This window comes from Homo sapiens, chromosome 8 (genome assembly GCF_000001405.40).
Source record: "Homo sapiens chromosome 8, GRCh38.p14 Primary Assembly".
In the NCBI taxonomy this organism is placed as follows: Eukaryota; Metazoa; Chordata; class Mammalia; order Primates; family Hominidae; genus Homo; species Homo sapiens.
Genome location: NC_000008.11, coordinates 65,286,436 through 65,302,934, shown reverse-complemented (window position 1 = coordinate 65,302,934; position 16,499 = coordinate 65,286,436). Strand labels below are relative to the sequence as shown.

The 16,499-nt window shown below is 39.6% G+C and overlaps 1 annotated feature.

Moving 5' to 3' along the window:
- Positions 14,720–15,234: an enhancer, noted in NCBI's record as "NANOG hESC enhancer chr8:66199936-66200450 (GRCh37/hg19 assembly coordinates)". NCBI's record gives its function as "activates a minimal SCP1, AML or CMV promoter by ChIP-STARR-seq in naive H9 embryonic stem cells {active_cell/tissue: H9 hESC(naive)}" and the evidence as "EXISTENCE:reporter gene assay evidence [ECO:0000049][PMID:30033119]".

The following is a 16,499-nucleotide window of genomic DNA, read 5'->3' as shown; positions in this document are numbered from 1 at the left end:
CCAGGAACAATAGATACTAGAAAATAATGAAATCCTACCCCAAAGCAATGAGGGAAAATAACTTGAAACTAAAGTAATATCATGTAAGAGTGACAAAGACATTTCCAGATGTACATAAACAAAGCACATTCCCACTTCCAGACATGAATAAAACGGTCAGGCAGAGGTTACTGAGCAATGGGCTGTATGTCTGGTGCACATAGAAGCCAATATTATAGCACTGGCTTTTGAGAAAAGAAGGCTTTATTGAGAGCTGACTGGCAGGGAGACAGGAGGTGATGTTCAAATCTGTCTGCCTGCACTGGAGCCTAGGAGAAGATTTCATAGGCAGAGGGTAACGATGAGAGAGAGAAAAATACGATGAGTCATGATCTGATTGGGTCATGCAAAGAGGTGATGCTGGGTCCTTCATTTTTAATTCGGCTCTGCAACAAAACAGGGCACTCCTTGCTCCTTAATTCCATCCCTCTGCCATGATCTGAGCACTTAGGTTCTGCATGTGATTGACTTCTTTGTTCTGGCTGGCTCCTGGGTCACAAATGGGGCATGCTTGGTTCATCTGGGCATGCACAGTTTTCATGACCTGCAACCTGAGGGTCCTTTCCACTGAAAAACAACTCATCATTTTGTCACATCATGTTACTGACAAAGTTGAACCAGACTTGAACTGGTTTTGTGGTTAGATACTTCAGAAAGAGAGAAAATGAACCCAAATGCAGTAAGAGATTGTGAGCAAAGAAACCAATCAAACATACTGGCAATCCTAAATGTATATTGGCTAATAAATAGTGGCACTATTCGCTAGTTTGGAGGGGGGTGTTAAAATATTAAAATGATGGTTAAGATACTAGATACCAGTAACATGAAAGGTTTGAGCATATAATGTTATTTGGACAGAAGTAGAGACATTTTAAGATGCATGTTTGTTTGGGAGCAGGGTGGAGATGTTTTAAACTTAATACTTTGTTGAAAAAATAACATTAAACATGCATGTTATGTAGGTTTATGTAGGGTAACTTTAAAAAGAAACACCAACTTTGTGATGGTGTTGCCTCCTTAGGAAGAGATTGCCTCTGTGAAGAGCAGGTAGGGAACTTGGGTTTGAGAAAGTGGGTTGTGAGGATGTTACTGTTATCAGAGGCACATGTCATGGACGGGGGCATGGCTTTGGGTCTCAGCTTCCTGGCCTGAATGCCAGCTCTACTCTTGTTATGGGTTGAATTGTGTCCTTCAAAATTCGTATGTTGAAGTCCCCAGCGCCTCAGAATATGACTGTGTATGGAGATACATTTTCAAAAACCTTTAAAAAATTGTATAAATCTAAGGTTTACAATATGGTGTTTTGATATACATATTCATAGTGAAGTGATTACTACAGGCAAGCAAACTAACATATCCATCTCCTCACATAGTAACTGCCTGTCTGTGTGTGCATGGAGTGGGGGTGGGGGTGGTGAGATCACGTGAAATATACCTTCTCAGCAAATTTCAAGTATACAATATGGTATTGCCTAACAATAGTCCTCATGCTGTACATTAGATGTCAAGCCTTAATCATCCTATATAAATGCAGCTTTCTACCCTTTAATCAACAACTCCTCATTTCCCTACCTTCTCCACCTGGTATCATTGTTCTATTCTCTGTTTCTACGTATTTGACTTTTTCAGATTCCACATAGAAGTGAAGTCATTATTTTTCTTTCTGTGTCTGGCTTGTTTCACTAAGCATAATGCCTTCCAGGTTCATCCATGTTGTGGCAAATGATGGAATCTCCTTTTTTTTTTTTTTTTTTTACAAGGTGGAATCATATTCCATTACATACATATCTCATAATTTCTTTTTCATCAGTCAATGGGTATTTAGATTGTTTCCATATCTTGGCTATTGCAAATAAGCTCTACTTAAGTTAGAATGAAGTCATTAAGTTGGGCCTTACTTCAATATGGCTGGAGTCCTTACAAGAAGGGAAGGTTGGGAAGCGGACACGCACAGAGAGAAGGAGATATGAAGTCATGGGGAGAAGATGGCCGTCTATTCACCAAAGAGAGAGGCCTTGGAACTAGCCAACCCAGCTGACACCTTGATCTCAAACTTCTAGCCTCCAGATTGTGAGAAGATAAATTCTGTTGTGTAACAAAGTCTGTGGTATTTTGTTATGGCAGCCCTAGCTGACTAATATAGCCTCTTAAAGCTGTGTGACTTGGCACATGCCTAAAATTCTATACCTCAGATTCCTTTCTGTAAAATTGAGATAATAACAACCTGTCTCATAGGGTTTTGTAAGATTTAATCAAATTAATGTATGTAAAGCAATTGGAATACTGCCAGTACATGGTTAATCCTCAATAAATGTTAGTTATCATTATTTCTTTTATTAAAAATATTAAATGTGACAAACTATTAACACTGATTAATTGTGAGTAGTTGGAATATGAGTATTTGTTATATTATGCTTGGTACTTTTAGGCAATTTTAAACATTATTCTGAGCAAAAGTAAAACTATTCTCTATTATCTACCTCCTATAGGGACTTGATAGCAAATAGAATACTGCAATTGATGTCATGGTAGAGAGTGTATTAACAGCACTATTTATTTGAAGAATATTTTTAAAGCATCCACTATATGTCATATACTAAGCTGATCCTTTGAGTATTATATATTAACCAATTGTCTTTCTCTTTTGAGGGTTTTTTACTACCAAGAAAATTATTTTCAGAACTTATGATCTATTCTACAATTCCATGTCTGCCCACGGCTTGGCACATGGACATTTGTCCAGCAGAGCTTATTACGGACAGACAACCCAAATGCTTTATATCTCTGCTTAGAGAATTTGACGCATGTGCGGTAATGAAGAAAGCTACTTGAGAAGAATTAAAGATTTTGCTAATCAGCTTATTAATTGAATTTATGAAGTCTCCAAATACAAAGGCAAAAGGAGTAGGTGACTGTGAGACCAGAAATGTCTCTGGAAGTCAGAATTAATGATACGCAAGCCAGGGTCCCTTTGTGCTTGAGCCTCATCCAGATGCATCCAGCCATAAAAGAATAATGTGAAAACTCATTAATTGGGAATCCTGTACAACTTCAAAAACGGATCTCCACTGCAAGCGTGAATTTTCTGACAACCTCCTAATGCCTCAAAGTTGTGGGGAAAAGCTTTGTCAAACCTATAACTCACCATGATAGTTCCAGGAAACACCCAGTAGGGCCTGGGAGAAGCTCATCTCATTTAAAAATGTATCCATCATTAAAACACTTCACTTGGTTTTGCTAAAGTCACACTCCCATCCTTATTCCATGTAACTGCTGCCTCCCTGTTGGCTTTTGAACATATTTATTCCTCTTTTGAACATAGTCACACGTTGACACAACAACTGTTACATTGTATCAGCTGCCTGTGATGAAGTGGGGATATTAGCACCATGTCTTCCAGTCTGGCCTTTACCCCATCAGGTAGAAGATTTAAGTGATTAATGTGAATTGATACTGTTAAATTACAACATAGGAAGAGCTGTTAATGATAAGGCATAAACCATGGTTTAAACGATGTCATTTTTTACTGCATATGAACCTCTCTACAAGGAATAGAATACATTGTAAGAAAGTTCCTTAGAAACTCTGGCATTGTGAAAAGAGTCCTGTCTGAGTTGGAAGACATGGATTCTCAGTTTGGCCCCTCACTTTCTAGTTATTTGATCTTGGGTGAGTTCCTCATCTTCCTTGAACCTTGCATTACACATTTGTGCACGGACAATGATAACATTTACTCTGCAGGGTTGGGTGAGGATGAAATGAGATCATTTATATAAAACTACATAGTGCAGTGCCTGGCATAAAGTGAGTCTTAACAAAAGCAGTTTTTGGACTTTTTTTTTTTTTAACAGAAGTTAAACTGATTCTATCGTGTCACATTTTATAAATTCACTTAGTAAACACCTAATGAGTGCCTACTCTTTACTAGGTGCTGTGCTCAGAGCTGGAAATGCAGAGATGAATAATATGAGGTTTTCAGCCTGGTGGGGAGTAAAGACCCAAATCCAAACCTGATGAGTTCTACTGTAGAGACATACAAGCTACAGTGAAAATACAGAGATGTGAGAAATCAATACCTCAGTGCCTGCAGGACCAGGAGTCTTCACAGATGCACAGGCCAAGGTTAGGTCGTGATTCATTCGAGCTGCTACACCAAATTACTATAGACTGGGTGGCTTAACCAGTAAACATTTATTTCTCACAGTTCTGGATGCTGGAAAGTCCAGGATCAAGGCACCAACAGATCCATTGTCTGCTGGGGGCCCACCTTCTGGCTTGCAGATGGCTGTCTTCTCCTTGTCTCCTCACATATATTCGGTCAATAGTAGGTTAGGTCTTGTTAAATTGAGTTTATCATGAGGACAAGAGAATAAAGGATACACAAGGCACCACTGCAGTGCAGGGGCATGGGAGTACAGACCAGATTGTCACGCTTGGGAAACTGCAAGTGGCCAAGCGTTCTGTTGTGGCCGAAGCATATTGTACCATTAGCCTCTGGTGGTCAGTGGGCTGGGGACCAGGCTGTAAAGTTAGGCAGGATCCAATCAGAAGGGTGTGTGTGTGTGTGTGTGTGTGTGTGTGTGTGTGCCCAAGCATGCACCCCTGTGCCTGCCTCTGCAGCAATGGTGCCCTCTGGCACCGTCAGCTGAACTCACAGTCTGTTCCCTTGGCTGGTCAGGGCCTGGGGCTCCCCGCTGCTGATGCAGGCCCACTGCCCCACTCGCTCTTCTCCTGAGGTTTGCCTTCCCTCCCCTTCAGTCCCTGGCCTGCTCATCTTCCTAGCACTCCTCTCCAAAAGCTTATCAGACAGCACCATCTGCTAACTTCTGGCTAACTCCACAGGGCACAGCAGCTGAGGGCAGCCATGAGAACTAAAGCAGGCCTTTCCCCATGTTGTTACCCCATGGGGCAGCTTCCTCTTGAAGTCTTAAACAGGAAACAAGCAGGAAATCTTCTCTGCTTCTGCTTTTTGCCTTTACTAACCAGGGTGCCATCGGGGGTGAGACAGGTCACGTTTGAATTGCCCCTCCTCTAGGCTCCTTTTCCTGTCTCTCCCTCCCACCAACACCCTCCTGGGCTGGAAAAAGTGGAGTTTCTTTTCACCTGTTCTTCTATCTGGAGTTGAGTCCTCTGAGCCATAGCCGTCTTCTCAACCCCAGCCTCATGGAGGGCTGGGATGTGGAACAAAAAAAGGCCTTGCCGTGTGGAACAAAAAAAGGCCGCGCCAATAAGGTCACATCAGTGGGGAAATATTTTTTAACAATACAATAGTGGCCGGGCACCAGCGGCTCATAGTTATAGTCCTAGCACTTTGGGAGGCCAAGGTGGGAAGATCACTTGAGCCTGGGAAATCAAGACCTGCCTGATGCAACATAGAAAGACCCCATCTCTACGAAAAATGAATTATCTGGGTATGGTGGTGTGCACCTGTAGTCCTAGCTACCCAGGAGGCTGAGGTGGGAGGATCGCTTAAGCCCAGGAGTTCAAGTCTGTAGTGAGCTCTGATCATATGACTGCATGCCAGCCTGGATAACAGAGTGAGACCCTGTCTCAAAAACAAACAATACAATACAATACAATACAATACAATACAATACAATACAATACAATACAATACAATACGTTATTATGGGTATGTTAGTGAACCCACATAATTCCATAGCGAATAAAGAGCACCTGCAAGTTTGGCTATATGATAAGGCATAGCCCGGCAGGGGTGTTCAAAGCTCATGTGGCTTAGGAGGGTCACTCAGTTGCCCCCCGCCCCACAACCACTGGAAGAGACTTTTTACTCTTTGCCAATAAGAGCTATTTGGCTGCCTCACCTCCAGAAGCTATGTGGTTTCAGGCACTCCAGCATACAGATGACTGCTCTATCAGTTCAGTGGATGAAGGAGATAAAATTGCACAGGGGTCTTAAAAATAAGAAAATCTCTGATGACTTGTTTTGCAATTTGAAAATGACAGGAGATGTGGGGTTTGCTGGGGATGAGGATTCTGAAATGTTTGTGGTGGTAGCCAGGGATATAAACAATGGGCAACTGACCTATGCTGGCTGCAGGGACAGAAGTGAAGATTGCAAAGTGTCGTCTCATTCTGGCAGCTCTTTAGAGACAAGCATCCCAGACTTCTACAACCCAGGGCCTGGGAGCTAATCTGGATCCCTCCTTTCCTGTGACTTGGTTGTTTAACTCTTCCTTCAATTCTGTGAGATACCCCAATATCCTTCTAGTACATTCCATTTCCTTTTTTATTGCAGCATATTTTAGCCCAAATTGGTTTCTGTTGCTTGCAATCCAAGGAAAAGTAATTAGTGCAAGGTTGTCTGGGAGAAGACTGGGAGAGGGGTTGTAATGCCTTGGCCAGAGGCTCTGATCATGACTGCACTGACATCTGCTCTGTGTCCTGGACCATGTACTTCTATGATAAGGTTAATGTGGAATTTTGTCTAAAGGTGAGATTTTAATATAGGATTTAGAGAAAAATTCAGTGTACTCGGTCTAATGGTGGCCCGTTGAATTTAGCAAGTTCTATTTGAAGTGATTCACCAGTCTGGCATAGGGACATGTGATAGTCTTCAGAGTTTATTTGAAGTAAGTCACCACAAAAGATAATAAATATTTGTGTTGTCTTGGTTTTACTTTCAACCTGAAGTGCCTTAAGCAAAGAAAGCCATGAGAGAGAATAAAGCTGGATACATGCAGGCCATGGAAACGAGTGTTCTCCTTTGCATCTTTCTCTTTCTTTCAATATCTTTCCCTCTTTTTAAGAAATTGTTCATCATGTAAGCACAAAGATTAGATTGCTTTCCTTTGTTACTATGTTTCTTTCCTGAAGTGGAAAAAAGTTTCACAGGACTTTGTATTGCCTCTTATTTTTTAGTTAAACAATTTTGGGGAGTGTATTAGTCTGTTCTCATGCTGCTAATAAAGACATACCCAAGACTGGGTAATTTATAAAGGAAAGAGATTTAATGGACTCACAATTCCACATGGCTTGGGAGGCCTCACAATCATGGCGGAAGGTGAAGGGGAAGCAAGACATGTCTTACATGGCAGCAGGCAAGACAGGGCATGTGCAGGAGAGTTCCCCTTTATAAAACCATCAGATCTTGTGAGGCTTATTTACTATCATGAGAACAACACAGGAAAGACCCGCCCCCATGATTCAATTCCTTCCCATTGGGTCCCTCCCACAATACATGGGGATTATGGGAGCTACACCTCAAGATGAGATTTGGGTGGGGATGCAGCAAACCCATATCAGGGAGAAAGTACCCAGCTTGGGTTAAACAAGATAAAAACCAGGCTAGAATGTTTCCAAATAAATCTCTTCATAATGCAACCTTCTGGTAAAATTTTGTCTTCTCTCTCTCTCTCTTTCGCCTGAAACACGTAGAAGTTATCTCATCCATCTCATCTGTTTCTAGTCAGATCCAGTCAAAGAGCCCTAAAGATACCTTCCAGACTTTCATGAGCAGGTAGGTTCTTTGGATTCAGGTTTACCTTGTGAAAAATCTGAATAGTGGCTGTTTATATTTAGATTAACTTGGGGGATATACTACTCTCTCAAGATCTATACATTTCCAATGAAACTCATATCATATAAGTTGAAAAAAATCACTAGGTGTTTGGCTCTAATTCTCTACTCCCTGCCCCAGTGACCCTGGTCACTTTACAATGGGTTTTAGTAACTTACGCTTTTATTCAGTAATTGTGGTTAATATTGTCATTATTTTATAATCCCAGATGCATGCGAGTTGCTTTGTTTTGTTCTTTCTCAAGTAGCAGGAATTTTCTCCTATGTGATGTGGCTCTTTGGGAAGACTTAAGTAGCTAGAGTTCTTTTGGGTTTTTATACCTTTGTCATGATCTCTTGGTCCTACCTCTGTCGAGGATTTGAGAACATATTTCTCACCAGATGGGTTAGAGGATGTTTGAATGAAGCTCCTCTTGCATTCTCTAGGTATCCTTGAACCTGCATCCTCCAATGGGCACAGGTCCTTAACTCTCTTCTACCTGTGGACAAGTTAGTTTCTGGTCTTTTAGAGATACCTTCTTTGAAAACATTCATCCATAATTTTGGATCGACAGTCTTAATCCTGTGACATGATCATAAGTATCAAAGATCCTGTTACCATTTTTGTGGGGCATAATAACACAGATAGGATTGCTGGTCATCTGACTTCCTAACGTAGATTTTCTGGACTTCTTAACTTGGATTCCACTGGCCCTGACCAACTAGATTGCTTTAGTTATTTCTATCATGCTTGAAAACACTTACGAATATAGCACCTAGTTTTCAGCTGAAATACACTAGGGCTTAGAATGTGTTTTTATGGGTGAACATTTAGTCTCTAGGGAGATTAAAGAACAGACAAGTAAGTTCCATGAGGATAGGAACAGTGTCTGTCTTGTTAAGTTACCATATCCTAAACACTTAGTATTATGTCAGCATATTGGAAGGCATTCATTAAATATCTGTTGAATATATAAATGGCATTAAACAGCCATAGTTCATTCAATGAAAATATATTGCATAGGCTGTATGATTATATTGTTTCTTCTGCCAGTGGTCAGATAAGCCGGGGGTTGATGATGGCTCTCCCTTCTTATTTCTCTGGTCTTTGTTAAGTCAAGTGCAATGTTTGCGATGAAGGGCTGAAAATTGAAATAACTTCTTCCTTCAAGCAGCATTTATTTGGAGCAAGGAAGGAAAGTTCTTAAGAGATTGACATCCTTTTACAAAACCATGATGCTGAATGGCATGAGGTCCAGAGAGACAGTGTTTCTATGGGCTAGTAGAAAAGTGCACTGCGTGCTGTTGCTAGGCAACGGCCCATGCCAGCTTCTCTTGAATGAAGGCCAAGAGAATCAACAGAAACCAATGGGCATATGAGGGAAGAGTTTTCACCCAGAATACCAACTTTTGTGTTCTTTTTGCTATGTAGATACTATAAGTCTTGGTCGGTATTTGATGGGGAGGGGCTCTGTATGTGGCAACCATTTAGCAAATTGTCCCCAAAGCCATTTTGTGAAATTCTGCTTATGGCCAAGTATTAATTATAGGATTTGTGTATAAAATGTAAATTCAAGAAGAAGGAACACATTTCTCTACATAATGTTCCATTTACACCAATATGTAGCCACCCACCTATTTTTTCCTATTTGAATATTCCATTCCATTCCTTTCTCACTTTGGCTACATGCTTCATGCAGAGTAGATCTGCTCTAGACAGCATGTTCAAACTACATTTGCAACTAGAAATTTTTTTCTTTCAGCAGGTGTTCAGGGTGCTGTGGTTTGCCACGGGTAACTTAACAAATCCATTACTTTTGTTGCCTGGAAGCATTCCAGTAGAAGAAATTGTGGCTATGGCTATTACTATGTTGTGAATTGCACCCAAAACTTAGAATCACAGAGTAGCAAGTGTCTGGTCTTAAATCCTATTTTATCCAAACTTTATGCAGAGTTCTGAATGAATCAGGTACTGATTCACTTAAACTATATCACATACCTACTATGTGCTAGACATTTTATTTTCATATATGCAAATTTTGTGTGCATAATCAAGTCACACTAGCACACACATTTATAAACTCTAGTTAAAATGTATCCAAGGTTTATTTCCCGGCTTGCCTTTGCCTTACAGTCAATCCTACAAAGATATTTATTTTTATTTTGAAATATATTGAATGGGATTGACACTGGCGGTTTTGCTGCCATTGGTCATAAAGTTGTGACTTCTAGAGTTGCTTCGAAACCTGCTATTGCAGAGAGAGAGGAAGTCCCAATAAGCAAGTCTTGGGGACTTCTCCCAATCTTTAACCAAAACTCCTGTTTTGATCCTTTTTATATAATGGGGTATCATGTAGGATTTTATTTGAAAAAGAAAATCTGTAAACCTCTGATATAAAACTTTATAACTCAGGACGAATCATGCAGTATTTCTCAAAGGATGGTCCATGTATCTGCGTGGGACACTTGCAGGTTCATATGGATGTTCATTTCAAAAAGCTGAAACTGAGGTGCACCCTTGCCCTCAAGACCTACTGAAACAGATTCCCTGAGAGTTGGGCTTATGAATACACATTTTAAAAAAGTATTCTTATGCACATTAAATAATTTTATATGAAATTCATTTTACTTATAAAGGAATATGTAACATATGTATGGTTAAGGTCTAATAGACCATATGCCTGCTACCCAGAAATAGAAAATTGACAGTTCCTTTGAGGCCTTCTGTATGTCCCTCCAGAAATTCCATCCTCCTCTTTCCTCATTCCTTAAGGAGCCACTGTAATAAATTTTGTGTGAATTATTCTTCTGCTTTTCTTTACTCTTTTCCCCTATATGATTGTATGTTAACCTTAAACAGTTTATTGCTTGGTTTAGCCTGAGTTTGACCTTTAAATAAGTGAAATTACACTCTGAACACTATTTTGTTACATATCTTTTTTTAGGCTTATGAGATTCATCCATGTTGAAATGTATAACTATGGTTTATTCGTTTTTATGTGTATTATAATCCAGGCATGAATATTCCAAAATTTATCCAGTTTTCTATTTATGGACTTTGGTAGTTTTAAGTTTTTGCTCTCACAAACAATGCTGCCATGAATATTCTTATATATACATATAAATATATATATCCTAGTTGTGGAAAATTTATGGGTATATACTTAGAATACATACCAGGGTATCTAACCTAGGTGTAGAATTACTGTGTAATATAGGCAAGTTCAAATCACTAGATGATGCCAATGTTCCTTCAATGTGCTTGTATCAATTATAAAAATATAAGAAATACTGTTGATTTTATGGATTCTAACTAGATTACTACTACACACATTTTCAAGAAAACATGGGAGACAGGGTGGCATGCTTCTGTTTGCATTCATCTTGTCAATGTTTTCTCAAAGAATCCTGTTACTGCCTTCACTGTACATGGTCAGAGGGAAGAACTCAAACATTTAAAGATCTAGAATACAGAAGCTTCTGCTTGAGATCTTTAACATCTTACTTTACGTGTATTATTCTGGTCTTCAGCTCCTCTGTTCATGGGTGAAAATTCATTTTTATAGAAAATTAGTAAAAAGCAAAGGTTGCTTATGGCAACCTTGTGGCAACCTTGTGGCAGTGGCTTGGATTTCTCCGCTCTGAATTCCTGAAAACACTGTAAATCTTAATGGAGTCCATCCTCAAGCTCTACACTGAATAATATGCCCCTTGAAAATTGAGCATTATTAGTGCTTTTATTGAAGAGGATATGGTAGACCTGCCACAAATGTTTTTCTTTTCTCATTTCTTTCTGCCTAATTTCAGACTAAAACACTCAGAAATATTATTAGTTGTCACCATTTCCAATATAGGAAATGTAGGTGATATGTTATTAATCTTCAACCTTTGTCATATTACCTATATTGTAAAGAGAAGGACTATGTACAAATCCTCCCCTCCTTGACAAGGTGCTTACTTGGTTGATAGAGGTATCAGAGGGCTGGCACTAGAACAAAAGCTCTCTCACTTAAGACTCCTTGGGAAGCTCAAACCAAAGGAGGAAGCTGTCCAGTGAACCCTTCAGGGTGCTAGAGAACAAGGCCAGAGGTGTTTCTTCTGAATTGTCACTAAGACAATGAGGTTAGGCAGATAGCGTCAATATAAAAATGCGATTATGTCAGGCAAAGGAAGGAAGAGGGATGCAATTGCAGAAGAATACACAAAAGCTTTCAACTGTCTTGGTAACATTTTATTTCTTAAAAATAACCTTCTTATGATTCTTCTGTAATGAACAATAAATACACGTATTCTTAAAAAGCATACTATCCTGGATTGAGGACTATGAAGAAATAAATAGGAGGAATTAGATTGGTTGCCACTAATATGCCTGCATTTTTCAGTCAGATTTTAGTGGATTTGCTTGGATGAGATGTATGATACTTTGGGGGACAGCAGATTTCCAGATCTAGGAGACAGAATGGGCAAGTAGGATCTTGCGCTGTTAACAATATGTATATGAAGTCTAGCAATATATACTAAACAACAGACTGGATGGAAAAACTCTATTTATAACAAGCAGGGAAAATGCTACAATTTATAAGCTCTAAATGAGTCATCAAGGTTTCTCTTTATGAGGGAAGGCAATATTAACAGCTGTTCTATTGGATTTCATTTGCTCAATTCAATAGGACTATTCTAATGGTTTATTTATTTAATGTTTTACATCTTGTAAATATTTTGGTCTGCTTATATGCATTTAGTTTTCATATTTCAGGTTTATACTTTTGTGATGTAGTGCTTTTGTACATGCTTTCTGGATTCAGGGAAATAGTTGAAGTAGAGTGAAGCTGTATTAAGGACAAGTTGTTGATGAAATGATTATCTGGAATCACGATGCCCTTTTCCTCTCTATCTTCTCATTTCTCTATGACTCCTCCTCAGTTTCTTTAAGTGGCTCCTCTTGTTAGTTGGGATAGACTACATTGTGCCCTGGTCACAAAAATGTCAGTGGCTTAACAGAACAGATATTTATTTCCAGCTCACACTACCAGTGCCATGTGGGTTGACAGGAGACTGTGTGACACACAGTCACTGGGGTCCCAAGCTCAGAGAGACTCCCTCACCTTGTGGTTGAATGACTGAAACACATGGTCACTTCAGTTGCCACAGCAGGAAAGAATATCTGGAGAATCATTTGTGCTGTTCTTCTCAGCCTGAAGGTGACATGTGCCATTTGTATTCATAGTCTATTAGCGGGAACTATTCACCTGCATCTACCTAAATGCAAAGGAGCTGAGAAATGCCTGAAGTGGGAGCAGACCCAGGTGCTCATGGACAGTGGTCATCTGCCATACTTTTCCTCCTCCCCTGGTCCTCTAAATGACTCAAATAACTGGCTGCAATTAGCTAATCTTCTTTATCTCTCCCTCAATTCTCTTGATTGACTCTACTCGTTCTAGTATTTCCTGTTGTATTTAGTACAATGCTTTCTGTTTCTTAGGTGCATAATATTTGTAGAACTCACTTGAATTGTTGCTAGTGGATAGTGTCAGTGCTTCTGATTGCAAAAAGTAAAACTGATAGCTCAGAATTCCAAAACCAATTGAACTGTACATGTTTGAATGTTATGTGGAGAGGCAGTTATGTGGCAAAAGGGGTTAATAAAAAGACAGTAACTTATTGGTGAGGGTAAAGAGAGAGGAAATATTTTGCTCTATTGATTCACTGAAAAAAAAAAAAAGGAAAAAGAAACAACATAAAGTGTAGAAAAGCCATAATCTGAGTATAAAAAGATCTGGATTGGAGTCCTAAATTCCTGAGTGCATTGCTAATTACAGCGTAGCCTTGAGGAAATAACTTCAACTCTCAGTCTCATGCAGCCAACATAAGATGATCACATTTCCACCCTCTTGTAAAACTGCTCTTGTTATTGTATATTTATCTCCATGAGCCTTGGTCAGACCTGCAGCCTCTAGGTCTTCTTTCTCATTTTGTCAGAGTTCGTTATTTGTGGAGGTGGATGTTTGAGATGTTAAGTGTATGGAGGTGGAGGAATTGCTGAGAGGGCAGAGCGGAACTGCTGAAGATAGCATCCATGTGATCTTCCTCACCTGTTCCCAGAGCTGGTAAGTCACTAGGTACATGACTTCACGTATGTGGACACACTTGTAATATTTACACTAAATTGTGGGAGAATGTAGTGTTCCAACTGAGAATTTCAAAATTCTGGGACAGAATTCAACATGGACCGTTGAACACAGACATCATTTCTCTTTCCCTCCCTAAGTCCAGTTGAAGTGACTGAAAATAATGAATAAAAACAAATAATGCCATAACAGTACTGGAAACAAGGAAAATGAATCCATAACAGACTAGATCATTTGAGGAAATACTGGAACATAAAAAATGAATGGGATCAGATGGAGAGCGAATAACAGGGAAAATTTGCCTCCTGGAGATCAGAGCCAGAGTTGACAAGAACATTCTGGGGGAGAGTGAAGCTGAGAAGTAAGACCAGGAGGGTGCATGGGGCAGCGGCCAGGGTATTTATTGAAAAGATTGTAGTCCAAACAGCTGAGCCTACAGGGCCACTCCTCTAAGTTTGTGAACTTACCAAGCATATTGGTGGTGCCTTTAGTGCCAGACTAACATACCATAAATAGACTGACTTGGGTGATCTGCCTGAGAAGGATGTAGGAGTGGGTGTGGGGCTTGAGAAGGAAGTAAAGTTGAGACAAGTCAGGACAGCCACGCCAGACAATAGAAAAGTTAAAAAGAAAGGGCAACTCTACCTAAAAATGAAATACACTATGGTCTCCAGCCATGAGTCAAACCTTCCTTATTTGGTTTCCTGTAGGGCACTCCTTGGAGAAGCTTTCCTGTGGACACAGACACCCACTTGCAGTGTCTATGGTCACCCTGCCTTGAGAAAAGGGGCCTGTCAGAAGTATTGACAACCCCCTTAACTTGTCCATCTAGGATATGACACCACAGATGTAAACTGGCAATGGAGGATCGCTATGCTTTTAATTACAATCATCAGAGAAGATCATAATGCATAAATAGAAAGTTACAATAATCAAAGAAGATCGTGATGTATAAATAGAAAAATCATGATCCTGGAAAAAGAGATAACTCAAAGTAGAGAAAAGAATTTTAAAAACTGAAGATTCTTAGAGATACAAGAAGATGCTGTATTAGTCTATTTTCACACTGCTATAACGAACTACCTGAGACTGGGTCATTTATGAAGAAAAGATGTTTAATTGACTTATAGTTCCACACTACTGGGGAGGCCTCAGGAGACTTACAGTCTTGGTGGAAGGCCAAGGAGAAACAAGGCATGTCTTACATGGTGATGAGAGAGAGCGAGAGCAAAGGGGAAGAGCCACACGCTTATTAAACAACAAGGTCACATGAGAATTCTATCAGGAGAACAGCAAGGGGGAAGTGCAGCCCCATTGATTCAATTACCTCCCAGCAGGCTACCCCCAACACATGGGGATTACAATTCCACATGAAATTTGAGTGGGGATACAGAGCCAAACCATATCAGTCGCACATACATAAATGAGAACAATCTATTATAATAAATGATTATTTAGGAAAAAAAGTAGTTGTGGAAATAAGAATTTCAATACATGACTGAATAAATTAATATTCAATTAATTTCAATAAATGACTGAAAAAATGACTAAATATTAGAAAAATTAGAGTAAAAGTCAAGCTGATGATCTTGACAAAATCAAGGAACTCTCCCAGGATGTAGAGAAAAAGGGCTGTTAAAAAAAGTATATTAAAAAAGGCATGAGATGTAAAAGACTGAAGAGGTTCAGCATCCCTCCCTATAGAGTTTCTACTGGGGATGGGATAATAATGATAACGGTAATACAAATCTTGAAGTCAATTTCACTAAACCAAAGAAAAACTTAAGTATGCTGATAAAAAGTGACACTGAGTTCTGAGAAGGATAAATGAAAATAAATAAATAAATAAATAAATAAATAAATAAATAAATAAATAAAAGTCCTATCACCAAATACAACTTGTGAAAATCGAGAACACTAAAGGGGTAGAAAACATCCTGACTGCTTCCAGAAAGGAGGGAGAGAAAACAAATGAAACCAACCAACCAACCAACCAACCAACCAACCAACCATCCATCCATCCAACCAAACAACCGATCAGACAAACAAAAGCATGTTCCTTGAAAATGCATGAGAATCAATAGAGCACGGAAGATATAAGTACAATTACAGAAATGAATGTTGAAAACCTTGACAATGTAAAACTTAATCTTTTAAGGGAAAAGAAGTGGAATGTAGTTCAAGTTTTAAATTCCTCATCTTTCAATCTAATATTGACGAAATAGGATTTTACATGTGTTCAGTGAAGATAAAAGTGACTATCTCAGAGAAGCAGAATTCGTGAGATAGGGGAGAACTTTTCCTTTTCTTTTTAGAGTTGGGTAATAGTTTTTTTTTTAACCATTTGCAGATATTAATGATTCAAAAAGAATCACCAGGAGGCAGTCTCCTTACACAGAGGTTCAGCCCTTCTGCTCAGTCATGTTTTGTGGCCATGTGCCCTGGTTAGAGCCTCTCCCAGGCCTGAACGGTCAGGTTGGCCTCATGTCCTTGTGGACTAGGAACTTGGGGTGCTTTGCTTACTTCCCTTGTGGAAGTGCATGGTATTTGGAAGAGCAGTGAGTCAAGAGGGAAAAATTGGGGCGCTAACTCACTCGGTTTGTTATTAATAGTTTAACAGTTCAGGCGCAGTGGCTCACGCCTGTAATCCCAGCACTTTGGGAGGCCGAGGCGAGCAGATTGCCTGAGGTCAGGAGTTTGAGACCAGCCTGACCAACATCGTGATACCTTGTCTCTACTAAAAATAACAAAAATTAGCCGGGCGTGGCCTGTAATCCCAGCTACTCGGGAGGCTGAGGAAGGAGAATCACTTGA